This window comes from Homo sapiens, chromosome 2, assembly GCF_000001405.40.
Source record: "Homo sapiens chromosome 2, GRCh38.p14 Primary Assembly".
NCBI lineage: Eukaryota > Metazoa > Chordata > Mammalia > Primates > Hominidae > Homo > Homo sapiens.
In genome coordinates, this window is record NC_000002.12 from 51,772,372 (window position 1) to 51,789,867 (window position 17,496).

Genomic DNA, 17,496 nt, shown 5'->3' on the forward strand with positions numbered 1-17,496 from the left:
AAACTTAGTTCTAGTTTGATTGCACTGTGGTCTGAGAGACAGTTTGTTATGATTTCTGTTATTTTACATTTGCTGAGGAGTGCTTTACTTCCAACTATGTGGTCAATTTTGGAATAAGTGTGATGTGGTGCTGAGAAGAATGTATATTCTGTTGATTTGGGGTGGAGAGTTCCGTAGATGTCTCTTAGGTCCACTTGGTGCAGAGCTGAGTTCAATTCCTGGGTATCCTTGTTAACTTCCTGTCTCATTGCTCTGTCTAATGTTGACAGTGGGGTGTTAAAGTTTCCCATTATTATTGTGTGAGAGTCTAAGTCTCTTTGTAGGTCTCTAAAGACTTGTTTTATGAATCTGGGTGCTCCTTTATTGTGTGCATATATATTTAGGATAGTTAGCTCTTCTTGTTGAATTGATCCCTTTACCATGATGTAGTGGCCTTGTGTCTTTTGACCTTTGTTGGTTTAAAGTCTGTTTTATCAGAGACCAGGATTGCAACCCCTGCCTTTTTTGTTTTCCATTTGTTGTTTGATCTTCCTCCATCCCTTTATTTTGAGTCAATGTTTGTCTCTGCATGTGAGATGGGTCTCCTGAATACAGCACACTGATGGGTCTTGACTCTTTATCCAATTTGCCAGTCTGTGTCTTTTAGTTGGAACATTTAGCCCATTTACATTTAAGGTTAATATTGTTATGTGTGAATTTGATCCTGTCATTATGATGTTAGCTGGTTATTTTGCTCGTTAGTTGATGCAGTTTCTTCCTAGCATCGATGGTCTTTACAATTTGGCATGTTTTTGCAGTGGCTGATACCGGTTGTTCCTTTCCATGTTTAGTGCTTCCTTCAGGAGCTCTCGAAAGGTAGGCCTGGTGGTGACAAAATCTCTCAGCATTTGCTTGTCTGTAAAGTATTTTATTTCTCCTTCACTTATGAAGCTTAGTTTGGCTGGATATGAAATTCTGGGCTGAAAATTCTTTTCTTTAAGAATGTTGAATATTGGCCCCCACTCTCTTCTGGCTTTTAGAGTTTCTGCTGACAGATATGCTGTTAGTCTGACGGGCTTCCCTTTGTGGTTAACCTGACTTTTCTCTCTGGCTGCCCTTAACATTTTTTCCTTCATTTCAACCTTGGTGAATCTGAAAATTATGTGTCTTAGAGTTGCTCTTCTCAAGGAGTATCTTTGTGGTGTTCTCTGTATTTCCTGAATTTGAATGTTGGTCTGCCTTGCTAGGTTGGGGATGTTCTCCTGGATGATATCCTGAAGAACATTTTTCCAACTTGGTTCCATTCTCCCCGTCACTTTCTGGTACACCAATTAAACGGGATTTGGTCTTTTCATATAGTCCCGTATTTCTCAGAGGCTTTGTTCATATCTTTTTACTCTTTTTTCTCTAAACTTTTCTTCTCGCTTCGTTTCATTCACTTGATCTTCAATCACTGATACCCTTTCTTCCACTTGATCGAATTGGCTACTGAAGCTTGTGCCTGCGTCACGTAGTTCTCGTGACATGGTTTTCAGCTCCATCATGTTATTTAAGGTCTTCTCTGTGCTGTTTATTCTAGTTAGCCATTCATCTAATCTTTTTTCAAGGTTTTTAGCTTCTTTGTGTTGGGTTCGAACATCTTCATTTAGCTCAGAGAAGTTTGTTGTTACCGATCTTCTGAAGCCTTCTTCTCTCAGCTCGTCAAAGTCATTCTCCATCCAGCTTTGTTCCGTTGCTGGCGAAGAGCTGCGATCCTTTGGAGGAGAAGAGGTGCTCTGATTTTTAGAATTTTCAGGTCTTCTGCTCTGGTTTCTCCCCATCTGTGTGGTTTTATTTACCTTTGGTCTTTGATGATGGTGACCTACAAATGGGGTTTTGGTTTGGATGTCCTTTTTGTTGATATTGATGCTATTCCTTTCTATTTGTTAGTTTTCCTTCTATTAGTCAGGACCCTCAGCTGCAGATCTTTTGGAGTTTGCTGGAGGTCCACTCCAGACCCTGTTTGCCTGGGTATCACCAGTGGAGGCTGCAGAACAGCAAATATTGCAGAACAGCAAATGTTGCTGCCTGATCCTTCCTCTGGAAGCTTTGTCTCAGAGGGGTACCTGGCTGTATGAGGTGTCAGTCTGCCCCTACTGGGAGGTTTCTCCCAGTTAGCCTACTCAGGGGTCAGGGACCCACTTGATGAGGCAGTCTGTCAATTCTTAGATCTCAAACTCCATACTGGGAGAACCACTACTCTCTTGAAAGCTGTCAGACAGGGGCGTTTAAGTCTGCAGAAGTTTCTGCTGCCTTTTGTTCAGCTATGCCCTGCCCCCAGAAGTGGAGTCTACAGAAGCAGGCAGGCCTCGTTGAGCTGTGGTGGGCTCCACCTAGTTCTAGCTTTCTGGCTGTTTTCTTTACCTAGTCAAGCCTCAGCAATGGCAGACGTCCCTTCCCCAGCCTCGCTGCCGCCTCGCAGTTCGATCTCGGACTGCTGCACTAGCAGTGAGCAAGGCTCTGTGGGCATGTGACCCACCAAGCCATGTGCAGGATATAATCTCCTGGTGTGCCATTTGCTAAGACCGTTGGAAAAACGCAGTATTAGGGCGGGAGTATCCTGATTTTCCAGGTACCATCTGTCACGGCTTCCCTTGGCTAGGAAAGGGAATTCCCCGACCCCTTGCACTTCCCAGATCAGGCGATGCCCCACACTGCTTCGGCTCACACTCTGTGGGCTGCACCCACTGTCCAACAAGTCCCAGTGAGATGAACCCGGTACCTCAATTGAAAATGCAGAAATCGCCTGTCTTCTGCGTCGCTCATGCTGGGAGCTGTAGACTGGAGCTGTTCCTATTCAGCTTTCATGGAACTGAGAGGAAGCAATTATTTTTGAGGTTTAAGTGACTGCTAGTAAAGTGTATCTTACAGTGTGGGGGATGAGGTGGCAGGAGTGGACTGAGTCGCTGAGGCCCATCCACTGTCGGTGGTTGGCGTAGTCACCGCAGCACAGGAAGTACTGGAGGCCCGAGTAGTTGGGCTGCTCATAGAGCATCCAGTAGCCACTGTCCACCTCAACTTGAGGTTTTAACATAAACTTCCTAACTATCAAAGTAAGATATTTCTCAAGTAAACAAATAAATGAGCAAATGGGTGAACGGGTCAATATGAGAATGCTAAAATGATACTAATTAGAATGCAGAAAAACAGGTTTGGATATGAAACAGTTGAAATTCTCATACATTGCTGGTGTGAATATAAAATGGTATGGCCATTTTAATACAGATGCAATTGTGGTTTTATATTTGTCCTTATTTATAAATGATCGATTTCAACAGTAGTCATTTTCAGATTTTTTATTAGATTCTAGCTGCACTCCTCTAGATAAATAAAAATTCATTAAAAGGGCAACTAAAAGTATCAATTTGAATCTTTAAGTGTTCAAATCATCCTAGGGTATTTTTCAAGTAAAAGCAAAAACAAGTAGCAAGAAGAAGCTAGTGAAAATGCAAATAGACCCTAGTAGTGATCACTTAAAAGTCATATTGTTCATGGTCACTTATTATTCTATCATAGAAATTCATGATATTATCATTGCCCAATTTATTCTCATTGAGATCAGCAAATAGTCTTGAAGATTTATGAGGCGGAATTTGCAAATCTGGGCTGCTGACATTTGTGGTGATCAGTGGGTTACAGGATTCCCTTGACAGATTTGCCCCATAAAGGAGCTAAGGCTTCCTAAGCAATCCATATTTTCTCAATTTTATTCATCCAATTTGACCCTGAAAAGACAGAGCTATATTATTATTTTCTGTTTCTGGGAGGAGTGAAGTGGTACTAATAATTTGTGTGTGTGTGTGTGTGTGTGTGTGTGTGAGAGAGAGAGAGAGAGAGAGGGAGAGAGAGAAAGAGAGAGAGACAGATTAATGTCAAAAATCAAATGTCAGGCACTACTGCGACTGTAATCAGTCAAGTCTATTCTGTGTGTTTGGTTAGTATCTGTAAGTTTCTGAATATGAAAAAGAAATGAGATGGTCCAGATGTTTACAAGAAGGAGTCAGACTCTGTAGAATATTTGAAGAGATTTATTCTGAGCCAAATATGATTGACTGTGGCCCATGACACAGACCTCAGGAGGTCCTGGGAACATGTGCCCAAAATGGTTGGGGTGCAGCTTGGTTTTACACAGTTTAGGGAGGCATGAGACTTCAGTCAAATACGTTTAAATATATTTAAGAAATACATTGATTTGGTCCAGAAAGGAGAGACAATTCTAAGCCGGTGAGGCGGGTAGTAGGGGGGTTACTGTACAGGCTATAGGTAAATGTAAACATTTTCTAGTTGACAATAGGTTGAGTTTGTCTAAAGTCCTGGGATCAATAATAAGCAATGTCTGGGTTGCTATAAGAGGTTATGGAGACCAAAGTTTTATTACACAGGTGAAGCCTCCAGGTAGCAGGTTTCAGAGAGAATAGTATATAAAATGTTTCCTATCAGACTTAAAGTCTGTGTTGATGGTAATGTCTTCCTATCATAGCCTGAAGCAGTCCTTCAGGTTAAATTTTAAAAGAGTTCTGGCTGAGGAGAAAGTCTATTCAGATAGTTGGGGGGCCTTAGAATTTTATTTTTGGTTTACACATGTAAGAACTCTGAAGCATTTAATAGTAAGAAAATGACCTGGTAGCTACAAAATTGTACACTGAGGGTTTGCAGTATATCACCCAATCCTCCTTCAACTCACTTGTGAGCATCTAGGCCTGTGCCCCTGGCCCATCATCTGGAAGAAATTGGCTTGATCGGGTTTCTTTTCTGACATACCTAATCTGTCTGCTGGTGGGGAAGGCAGGAAGCCTGGAATATCTGAGGAATGTGGTGGAATTGGAAAGAAACCATGTGTTGAAGACATCCATTGTGTGGACTACAAATTTTCAAAGAGAAATTTATTTCCTTTTTGAAAAATTAATGATGTTTTTTATTTAAAAAAAAAAGCCATGCTGAAAATCATAATGATTAACATGTATTGGATATCAGTTTTGTGACATGCTTCATTCCAAATGATTTTCATGTAATAATTCCTTTCATCCTATCAACAACCCACTTACATTGCTATTATCTTCATTTTAAAGATGAGAGAGCTAATTAATGAGACCAAGTTTCAGAGTAGGAATTTGAATTATGACTTTGAACCTAGTCTGGCTCTGCACAGTATACTCTTAAGCAGTAGCTTAGGAAAGAAAGCAAAAAGAAATAAGTAAATACATAAGATGATTTTTTCACTTTAAATATTATATATTTAAATATTTTACAAAATAGTGATTCACAGAAAACTCATTTTGTTATGACAAAAACAGACATTTTATGAAAAATTCCTGATATCTAATGTATAGTAATAATTAAATTTTGTGGCATCTTTTTAACCTGTATTCATTCACAATTTCAGGTATAGGCAAACTTAAGATAAATTAAGCATTTACAATGTTCTTATAATATCAGTGAAGTACTTTGCATTGGTAGTATATCTGTGATTTATATGCTACAAGCTGTGAGACAAAATGAGTACTATTTTATACCTTAGTTTTGCTTTTTATTCCACAAATAAAAAGCTGAAGACGTTTCCTTTCTGGTGATAACATCGAAGGGGCCTCTTGGAGGTGATAAATTTTAAAGAAAAATGTACGTCCAAGAGCATATTAATTCATTCATTCAATGCATATTTGTTGTGGCCTACTACATTCTAGGTCCTGGGAACATAGTGACAAATAAAACTGACAGTGTTTCTTCCTAAAGGGAACTGTAGCCTCTACTCTAACCTAAAGGATATGTAACTTCTACTTTTTCTCGTAAAGCTCAAAATCTTTCTTAGTAGGGGAAGATGGAGAAAACCAAGGTAAAAGAGCATTTATTAAAAATTCAATCACTGCCTATTATTAAGAAATCAATTTCAAAAAAAAAAAAAAAAACCTCAGTATTACCTTACAAGCGAGGACTCACTAAAAGGAAAATTAAATGTTTTGTTCAAGGTCATAAATCTGTGTAAGGGTCACAGCAACAAAGGAGATTGGTCTCCTGATTCTAAGATCAATTCTTTTTTTGCTAGACTAGCCTACTACTTAGTGAACGTGAAAAGATTTTTAAAATTATTTTTAATATTACTCCAAGAAGTTTAAAGCACAGTGGAATTCATAATTTACATTTCCAGGGATACCTTTTGAAAGTGATTTTTAAAAACTGATTAATCCTAAATAGATGAGTGTCCAAAGAAACAAACTCCCAGAATATGTATAAAAGGAGATATTTTTCACTTTTTTATGACCCCAATTTTACACCTGGTTCCTTAGCAGTAAGAGTCATGTGAGTAAAGATATCTGCTTATTTAATGGTAACAAATATTAATGAGTTCTAAAGATTATTCTTTTTTAATGCAATTTTGCATTGCCGAGATCAAAAGCAAGAAACCAAAATGAAACTTGACCAATTGCCCAAACTTTAGAATTGATTAAAATTAATGGAATAGAAATTTCCTTATTAGTATATTTTTATTTCTGTCTCCAGAGTGAGTAATTGTTCTAGGAATCAGAGGTAAGGCAAACGGTAGAAACTGGGAAGAGATGAGGCCTTGGAGTGTATAAAGGTTCCTGCAGTTGGATTCAAAATGCAGTTGGACTCAAAATGAGGCTGAGGCAGGCCAAGTCTGAGGTTCCCTTGGACACAGAATTAAGACTATGCTGGGGCTTCAGAGTGCAAATCGTGTTCAGTCTCAGACATTCCCCTTTCTTTCACTGTCCCTTCCCTCCTGAATAGTGACCTGAAGTCACGATTTTTTTTGTTTCTTTGTTTTGAAGGTAGGATCTCACTATGTTGCCCAGGCTTGTCTCAAACTCCTGGGCTGAAATGATCCTCTCACCTCAGCCTCCTTAGTACCTGAGACTACAAGCTTGTGCCATTGTGGGCTGAAGTCACTTCCTATCAAACTGCTTGTCATCAGTTCAAATCTGTCCCCAAGGCAGCTTCTATATTTTATTCTTTAATTAAACATAAAGATAGAGAAAAGAAACAAAATGTTTGGAAATTTAGATCCCAGGTGTGTGAAAGGGTATCTTACCTATTGTGTCCGGAATTGGTGGGTTCTTGGTCTCACTGACTTCAAGAATGAAGCCGCGGTGAGTGTTACAGCTCTTACGGTTGCTCGTCTGGAGTTTGCTCCTTATGATGTTTGGATGTGTTCGGAGTTTCTTCCTTCTGGTGGGTTTGTGGTCTCGCTGGCTCAGGAGTGAAACTGCGGACCTTCACGGTGAGTGTTACAGCTCTTAAGGCAGCGTGTCTGGAGTTGTTCGTTCCTCCCGGTGGGTTCGTGGTCTCGCTGGCTTCAGGAGTGAAGCTGCAGACCTTTGCGGTGAGTGTTACAGCTCATAAAGGCAGTGTGGACCGAAAGAGTAAGCAGTAGCAAGATGTATTGCAAAGATCGAGAGAACAAAGCTTCCACAGTGTGGAAGGGGACCCCAGAGGGTTGCCACTGCTGGCTCAGGCAGCCTGTGTTTATTTTCTTATCTGGCCCCACCCACATCCTGCTGATTGGTGGAGCCGAGTGGTCTGTTTTGACAGGGCGCTGATTGGTGCAGCCCAGTGGTCTGTTTTGACAGGGCGCTGATTGGTGTGTTTACAATCCCTGAGCTAGACACAAAGGTTCTTCACCTCCCCACTAGATTAGCTAGATACACAGTGTGGACACAAAGGTTCTCCAAGTCCCCACCAGAGTAGCTAGATACAGAGAGTCGATTGATGCATTCACAAACCCTGAGCTAGACACAGGGTGCTGATTGGTGTATTTATTTACAAACCTTGAGCTAGATACAGAGTGCTGGTTGGTGTATTTACAATCCCCGAGCTAGACACAAAGGTTCTCCACATACCCACCAGACTCAGGAGCCCAGCTGGCTTCACCCAGTGGATCCTGCACCGGGGCTGCAGGTGGAGCTGCCTGCCAGTCCCGTGCCCTGTGCCCGCACTCCTCAGCCCTTCGGTGGTCGATGGGACTGGGCGCCGTGGAGCTGGGGGCGGCGCTCTTCGGGAAGGCTCGGGCAGCACAGGAGCCCATGGCGGGCTGCAGGTCCCGAGCGCTGCCCCATGGGGAGGCAGCTAAGGCCCGGCAAGAAATCGAGTGCAGTGCCGGTGGGCTGGCAGTGCTGGGCTGGCCCGGGTGCTAAGCCTCTCATTGCCTGGGGCGGAAGGGCCGGCTGGCCGCTCGGAGTGCAGGGCCCACCAAGCCCACGCCCATCCGGAACTCCAGCTGGCCTGCAAGCGCTGCAGGCAGCCCCCGGTTCCCGCTCACGCCTCTCCCTCCACACCTCCCTGCAAGCTGAGGGAGCCGGCTCCTGCCTTGGCCAGCCCAGAAAGGGGCTCCCACAGTGCAGCGGTGGGCTGAAGGGCTCCTCAAGTGCCACCAAAGTGGGAGCCCAGGCAGAGAAGGCACCGAGAGCGAGTGAGGGCTGTGAGGGCTGTGAGGGCTGCCAGCATGCTGTCACCTCTCACTACCATTGAAAGTAATTGGATTTTTGAATTTGTGTATCTGACAATGTCAAAATTTTTCTATGCCAGAATTCAGTGTCTCTGACTTCAAAATGTATTTAAATGAAAACAAAGGGTCACAATCTGTTCATATTTGTTTTTTCTTTATTTTCAGTTCATATTTGGGTAATAGGCATGGCTCAATTTGCCTTCATGGTTAATTTTTAAACACACGCATTTTGGTATTTTTCCACTAGTCATCCTGGGCATGGCATAGTTTTAAGTACTGATTTAACTTATGGCTTTCTTATAACAGACTCTTCATTTTCCCAGTTTTAATTAATAGATTCTCATTTGGAATAGAGAAGGCTTTCTGGCATTTGGATACTGTTTTGAGTCTGGGATTTGTAAAGTATGACGATTTTGGAAAAATATAGCATGGCATGTATTTCTAAAATAAATTAAAAGTCTTCATTGTAGTCAATTGACATTTATGGGGAAATTGTTCAGTTTAACTGATGATAGATGAGAAATCCTAAAATTTACTGAAGTTTATTACCCATTTGTTATTGTTAAATCATTTTAAGTGTCTCTGGATATATGGAGCTGTAGAGAAAATTAATAAAAACTGATAGTGCTCTATAGTTGGATTTTGTTGCTAACATCAATAGCACCAAATTTTTAAAGATGAATTTTGCCCAAAAGCAAGGGAGAAAAATGATTTGCATTGTTTTATTATCTCATTTTTCCTTTATAAATATTTTTTGGGAAATCAAAGAATGAAAGTAGGCAAAGTGGAAAAAATGGGTAAGAAAAGAAACAAAAGGAAAAATAAAAATTTCAAAAGCATTGGTAAAAAACTGGAAAGAGGAGGCTGTCTCCTCCTCACTTCATCAAGATAAGGCGAGAAGCTTGAGACTCAAAGGAAAAACCAAATATGGGTTCTAAAAAAAATAGAAGGCCTAGCTGCCTACCTTGCATGCTTAGCGACTAATTTAGGCGTTAGAAACCACTGAATGAATCAGCCTGCAGGATATTAATGAAATCAGGCATCTTCTACTCTGATTCCCAGAGAAATTACTCTCCCTTCAGTGCTTCTTTCCCTCTGGCTTCACCAGGTGTTGGTAGCACCTCAATATGTTATCCTGAAGGGGAGTGAGGAAGCAGAAAGCAGGAGCTGGAATAAGAATCCGAAATCACCAACACTAGATGAAGTTATAGTTAAGAGATTTCTTCTGTTTCTTACTCCTGCTAACAAGTCATCCTAGTCTACCCACCCTCCGTACCTCCAGAATTAGGATTGGTAGAAGGAATGTACAGAAGAGATTGGACTGAAAAATAGAATGGCAATAGTTGGCTAAATTTAAAACTCTTGCTTCCTAAGAGATACAGATGGCAAGTTTGTTATAGTTAGCTCATCACTGGAGGTCTTTAAATAGTCCTAGTTGAGAAGCAACTTATGTACATGTAGCCATTAAAATGCAATAAATCTCAACACAATAAATATGGAGTGGGCAAGAACTATAAAAGATAACTTCAGACTCTAACAATAAGCTCAAATAGGTTTGATTTTAATGAGGTTTTGGAGAATTGTGTGTTTAAATTGTGTATTTATATGTGTGCACTCTAAAGAGGAAAAGAAACCAGGAATTGTATAATAAATAAGGGCTTTTCCTTTTTATAAACCTGTTCAATTTATTGTTTGGTATGTTAGAGGCATACGTTTAATGCAGCACTAGTTTTAGTTTCCCTTACCAAAAAAAAAAAAAATTAAAATTAACCAAATCAGGGAAAAAAAATGACCAAACATTCAAACCAATTTATGTGCAGGATTAATAAATGTCCACTACCTTTTTGGTTTTTTTTAAATTTTTTCCTTTGCCAATACGTGTTATTAGCTAAAAAGCCTTTTTGTAACAGAAATGTGTGTGTGTGTTTTTTATTTTTTCTAAGAAAAAAAAGAGATACATGTGCAGAACGTGCAGGTTTGTTCCATAGAGAAATATGTTTTTTTGAGGAGATTAACAATGATCTAATGTTAGGGATTCAGTGTTATGCATTATTACTCTTCAATCCTCCACGGAGAGTGTGGCTTTTTGAGAAGGGTCTGACTGAGAAGGCTTTGGTAAGAAAATGCTGAAATGGCACATCATAGTCTGACTCGCCCTGGGTGAGTCATCTTTACCTGGTGGTACTGGAGCAGCTTTCTGAGAGCCCAACTGGCGCACTTCTCTCCTGTTGGCATTACTATATTTAGAATGCATAGCTAGAGAGCTCAGGGCTCCTCAGAATGATATTTTTAAATGTGTCATCACTCTAGACATGCTCTCCCTCCCTCTCCAGCTGCTCCAGCCTCCCTTATACTTTCACACATCCAAATGGAACAGAATCAAGAAAAATCACACTCCAAAGGAACCTGTGACAGTAGTCTCATCCCGAATGTTAAGCTCTGGACTTAGAAGCATGCTAAGAGCTCCCTTGGCTCTTGTGCTTAGCGAAGTTTGAATTCTTCTAGCAGCTCAGGGGTATGATGTACAGTGCTGTATTGAGTTCATTGTTCAATGTAAGCCTCAGGGAAGAATATAGAAAAGTCTAGTGGATACTTTTTTCTTCATTTTTTAGAACAAGCTTTACAAAGGTTTGCATACTGGAATGGGAAATTCTGGCAATTGCTAGCTGTGACTCTGCTCCATGGTATATTAATTAATGATGAAGCAATCACGGGGAAACCTGGGCCTTTGTTCTAACCGCAAACATCTGTAGTGAAGTCAGCAGAGGCAGGGAATAGAGAAACAATCTGTACATGGAGTATACATGTAAGTAAAACATTACTAGCATGTCATTCAAATGAGAAATCTTTGTGAATAAAGGAAAAATCTTCCTCTATAAATTGTTTGATTTAGATATCTAGAGTCTACTTAATAAGCCATCAGTATTTTATATCCTTGTAAATGTACATGACTCTGAGACATAGAACAGATGCAATGTTGAGGGAACTGATTGATTAGCAGCTTTGTTAATTTATTTAATATCAACTTTCTTATCTTGCACCTGCTTTGCGAATTTTTATATCATATGTTCCTGTATACAGGGGATATGAGAAAAAAATTGCATATATGTGTCCTAATATTTAGGTAGGGAAACAATTATATGTGTGGCAAGTAAACCTCCAAAATAACACTTAATAATAACTTGACATAAACAAGAGTTGCATAATTAAATGCAGTTGATGGGACAGTGGTTTCCACGCAAGCTTACATAATAATAAAAGATTCAAGAGTAGGAAATTTAAACTGGTAGAAATGGCTCAGCAAATATAAAGGGAATTTCAGAAGAAAAAGGTGCTCACTTGGAGCAAAGGAAATACAGGGGCAATGAGATAAAATGGAGAGTCCTGAAATAGAAGGGAAACAGCAAAGGCTGCTGTGATAATACGAAGAAGACCATGAAGGAAAGTGTCAAAATAACATCTAGAAAGTTGGATGTTTTCCTGAGGGTGAGATAATGTCATTGTATGTTTTGGAACATAGCAGTGATATTTTAGAAATGGTTTTTGGACAAATGAATATGGCAGGGATTTCTGAATAAATAGAGATAAAGCAATCCTGGAAGCAAAGATATTAGCTAGGAAGTATTTTTTCTAGCTCAGCACGAGTCTAAGGAGGGCTTAAACTTGATTGTGACCAACCTTATGGAAGGAGACTGAGAAATATTACTATCAATAAAATGAAACCTAATGTAGGTGATAAGACAGAAGCATTGTTCTCCACTTACCCAAGAAAATATTTAAGATATCTGAATTCTCACTGGCAAGTGAAAAGCAAAGAAATGACCCAACACATGAGTAGGATTAAAACTACACTTTTAGCTAAAATAGCAATAATAATTTAGTGATTTCTTAACAAATGACAATCAGTGTGCTGTAAACTTTGTATGCATGTCCTTATTTAACCTGCAACACTCCATGAGGAAATTAATATTATTTTCCACAACTCAAAAATGAGAAATCAGGTTTATAAAGGTTAAGTAAATTTGCCAAAGGTCACCCATTCAATATTTCAAATTATGTCTGACTTTCCCACAAAGCTAGAGAACTTCTTGTTTCTCATCATATTTCACCTTATAATAAATTCCTGTGTTCTATGTACTCTTCTTCCTTAATTATATACCCCAAGATTGTATTTCTTTATTCTGTTGTCCTTTCAGACACCTCACACAGTACATCTCTTTCTAGATAATCGATTCACATCCTACCTCCCCTGTCTTGAGATGTAGTTTGTTTTGGAAAACTATGTAGTATTAGTGGTTCATTTATTTAAAATAACAGTTGGCCCATTGTTGTATATTTTTGAATTGTTTGCATTATTCTGCCTTAAGTATTAATGATCTGTCCACTATAGTTTAATTTCACTTTCACACTTGAGGGATCTTTTATGTCTCCTTTATATTACTAATGTAAAAAGAAGTTGAGAGCATAAAACTATGACATATAGTTGGGAGATACTGACCCATTAGTCAACAGTTTCTAGGATACATTTGCAAAGTAGTTATGCATCCATTTACCTTATCTAACATTCTCTGTTTTGACTATTTTATATATAATACAGTTTGTCTGGCTTCACTTGCTCTAGTGGATTCCTGTCGTCTTTAAATGGTTGTTACACTTTTTCTAAAAGTGTAATACAGCTTTTATTGACATTAATTATACAACACTATAGCTTAAATAATACAATTTTTGCTTTTTAAAATTTTATTTTAAAAAATCAGAATGGCATTTTCTTATGCACCTATTGTAGCAACCTCTCCCCAGTTCTCAAAGATTATTGATGTTAAGCATTTTCATCCAAAAGTTTTCTTTAAATTCAGGAATAGAACGTATCTGGTCCAGGGAAACTAAATCTAGTTCATCCATAGATCTCTTGAAAATCCCTCCATAATATTTAAATTAAAATTCTTTTTATCATTATTCATTAAACCCTTTCTAGTCCCAAATCAGGGATTTCTTATCAAGAGGAACCCACATAGAACTAAAGAAGTGCTTCTTTATTAAACCTTTTAACACTCACTGGTTTGTCTCTATTGCTCTTATTCCAATAGAGCTCAAAATTCCTGTTTGGGTTTGTCCACACTGGGAGGTGAAATGTCATCTTGAGCACCTAACAGTAGTGTTATTCACTTAACTTGAGATTACTTTTACCTGTAGCAAAAATGGACTGCTCAGGTTCTTTTTTGTTATTGCCAGAGCAGCTTCTATTGACAAATAACACATTACAATAAGCTGGTTTAAAATGGTTAGATGTGTAGTATCGGCAGTAGAACAGAATTTTGTTTGCTTTTCTATTTTAATCCAAGTATTTTTACTGAAATTAAACCTGATACCTCGGAATTATTAACACTAGAGTCTAACCATTTGAACTAATTGTGCAAAGGTGAGTTGAACTGGTAATACCATCGTTACAAACTATACGCAAGGCTATTTTCAGCCTTAATGAGAGAGGGCCAAGGATGAAAAATATAGTGATAATACTAAATTAAAGATAAAATTATGTAAATGCTTCTTGTAATTTACCAGTGAAAAGGTTCTTGGCTCTGTCACCGTAGAAAAAGAAAAGTACTTAGGTTTATGGAAGGCCTGCTAAATGTCAGGTATTTTTGCAAATACCATGTATTTGAGTCCAAAAATAGACCTTTGAATAATTATTGTCAATCTGTTTTATGGAACAGAACACGAAAGTTCAAGGAGTTTATGGTACATGGCAAATATAAAGAAAACTTTAAAATTTGTATGTTAATTCACTTCTTGGATAGACAAAGATAATTGCCCTAGGGAATTTTTATAGGTAGAGTTGTTATTTCATCAATAAGTAGGTAAATAAATGACTAAATACATAGATTTGCAGAATAACTTTTAAAATCTCAAACATTTGTTTTCCTGGTCGAAATTTCCACTTCAATGAGCTTTGGCATAAATTCTCCATATCCTAGCATCACTACTGGGCTATAATTTTCTAGGATTCTGACTGTACTTTTATCATCCATGCTCCTTTCTCTGGATTTACTCAAGCAAAGCCAATGAATGAAGGTTTCCTCTGATAGGCAATCTGTTCTGCTAGCATCAAAGAGCATCTAGGACACATATCCTTGTGAACCTTCAGTACTACTGTGCAGTCTGGCATGAGTAGAGCAAGGACACGCTTGTGTGTGACCCCATGCCAGCCCACATCTCACAGTCTGTCAGCCTGTAACCTCCTTCTGTTCCCTCACCCTGGCCACCCTTGGCCTTTTGTGGTCAAAGTATATAATGTCTAAATAAGAATAATAATAAAAGTAATGGAAAACAAAATATTGGATATCAGGTTTAAAGAGATCAGTACAAAGCCAATGCAGACATTTCAGGTTCTCAGGGATCATTTTCACAAATTTCCTCCCACAGGACTATATCCCAAGGAATTGACTGACTCTCAAACAAGATGATTTGACACAACCTGAGTTATAGCAGAAATGTATTACTGTTACTACTGGTATGACTACAATTTAAACTACAGTGACAACTTCTATGACTGCTACTATTTCCATTACTTTGGCTGCCATCAAACATGTATAGGGCATTTAGTACTTTCCAGAAACTGCACCAAAATTTTACATGGATTATATATTTAGCCTGTGAAAAATTATATTGGAGAAGGTACTGTTTTTTTTTTTTTTTAATATGGGGAAAAAGAGATTTAGAAATTTTCAGCAAATTGCCCCAATTCACACAACTGGTAACTTCTCAGTTAGACTGACATCATGATAGTTCTCTGGCTGCTACTATTCTTGTTACTGCTGGTATTAGCACAGTGAGCTCAAAGTCATATTTGTCTAATCAAAAAACTATGGTCTTAATTATTTACATCATGTTGTTCAATGCAGTACTAACAATTAAATATTAAAAGTTGAATATTATCTCTAAAAATTCATTAAATAAAGAATTAAAGAAAGAAAGAAAACTTCCCAGCCAACATGACTTCCATAGAGTGAGGTATGATACTGGTAAAAACTCTTCACTTCTGGGAGAATAAGTGTTTAAAAATACAATTGACTAAAAATTAATATGCTAAATTTTATAATATCACTCAATGAAGCAAAAATATTTATTGTATAGAGTCTAAGAAATTATCATTTTTAAATTTCTCCCCATTTTTATTGAGGTATAACTAATGAATTAAGTTGTATATATTTAATGTATACCTATAATATTTTCAAAATCAGTTTTGTTGCCAATTTTTCTGGTTTGATTTCTCCCCTCCTCTGAAACACATCTAAAATTTAATTTCAAATAAATAGCACTGGGAGGTGGGGCTTTGTAGGGTGATGAGGTCATTAGAGCTCTGCCCTCATGAATGGATTAATGCCATTAGCATGAGAGTGGATTCTTTATTGTGGGAGTGCGCTCCTGATAAAAAGATGAGTTTCTGGTCCAATTTTCTTTTTCTGTCTTCACTGTTCGCTTCTGCCTTCTGCCTTCTACCTTCTGCCAGGAGATATCCCTGGCAGATGCCGCACCATACTCTTGGACTTCCCACCCTCCAGAAACATGAACCAAATAAACTGCTAATGCTTATAAATTATACAGGATGTAGTATTCCATTATAGCAGCAGAAAACAGACTAAGACAGAAAATTGGTACTAAGAAGTGAGATTGTTGCTATAACAAATATCTGATAATATGAAAGCAACTTTGAAACCGGACAATAGGTAGAGGCTAGAAGAATTTGGATGAGTAAGCTAGTAAAGCCTGGATTGCCATGAATGTAGCAGTAAGGGCACTCCTGGTGAGAGTTCAGGAAAAAAGGATACCCTTAAAGTTTGAATTTTCTTAGAGATTACTTAAATGATTGTGATTAGAATATTAATAGGAATATGGACAATAAAGGTCATTCTGCTAAGGTCTCAGGCAGAATAAAAAAGTCCTATTTGGAAATGAAGTATAGACTATTCTTGTTATAAAGTGGCAAGAATGTTGGCAGAATTATGTCCATGTCATAGGACTTCATGAGACCTGAAATTTAAGAACAGTGGGCTAGGATATCTACTGAAAGAAATATCAAAGCAGCAAAGCATTCAGGCTGCTGTATGATTACTTTTAACCACATACACTGAGATATGAGAGCAAAAAGACGACCTCAAATTAGAATTTAAAATTAAAAGGAAAATAGAAAAGAATTAGAAAATTCACAGCCTAATTATGTAGAGAATAAAAAAGCATGCTTGGGAGAGATTGCTAAAGGCTTGGGCAAATGACTACTTGCTAAGGAGATTAGCACAGATAGAAGGGATCATCAAGACAATGCGAGAATGACCCCAAAGTTTCCAGAGATCTTCAAGGCTGCCCCTCCCATCATAGACCCAGAGCTCTAGTGGGGCTGAATGGTTTTATGGGATGGGCCCAGGGCATCCTCCATGGGTTCACCCATGGGCTCAGACCCACCTCAGGTCTCTGCTTCCCAAATTCTGGTGCAGTGCTCCCAGGTCACCCCAGTCATGACTTAAGTGGGCCCAGGTGCTGCCGCTCAACCTACTGCTCCAGAAGGTACAGTGATAAAACTTGGCAGTGTCCACATAGCTCTAATTCTGCAGACGCAAAGAATGCAAGAGCTACAGGGGAAACAATTACTCCTCCCAGGTCTCGTCTCACAGGATGTCATGGGCAGCCGGGGGCCATGGCAGAAATTTTTTGTAGAGAGGCAGAACCACTGAGGAGAGCACCCACTAGGACACTGCCAAGCAGAAATGTGGGATTGGAGCTGATACAGAGTCCCTGCTAGGGCAATGCCTAATGAAGAGTGGCTACTAATGGAGTAAGTCTACTCCCAAGACCCCTGAACTGTAGAACTACCAGCTTACAACCAAAACTCATGTAGAAATTTAATTGCCAGTGTCACAGAATTGGAAAGTAAGGCCTTTAAGAGGTGATTACGTCAGGAGGATTTTGCCCTCATTAATGAAGTAATTCTATTATTGTGAGAGTAGGTTAGTTATTGCAGGAGT

General features: G+C 38.8%; 1 long non-coding RNA gene and 1 pseudogene across 1 annotated transcript in view; one reads left to right on the forward strand and one right to left on the reverse strand.

Moving 5' to 3' along the window:
* NRXN1-DT (NRXN1 divergent transcript) overlaps positions 1-17,496 on the forward strand; it is a 1,375,317-nt gene that overhangs the window by 739,771 nt on the left and 618,050 nt on the right. The gene's annotated exons all lie outside the window — the stretch shown is intronic.
* Positions 2,887-3,031, reverse strand: CRYGGP (crystallin gamma G, pseudogene; annotated as a pseudogene).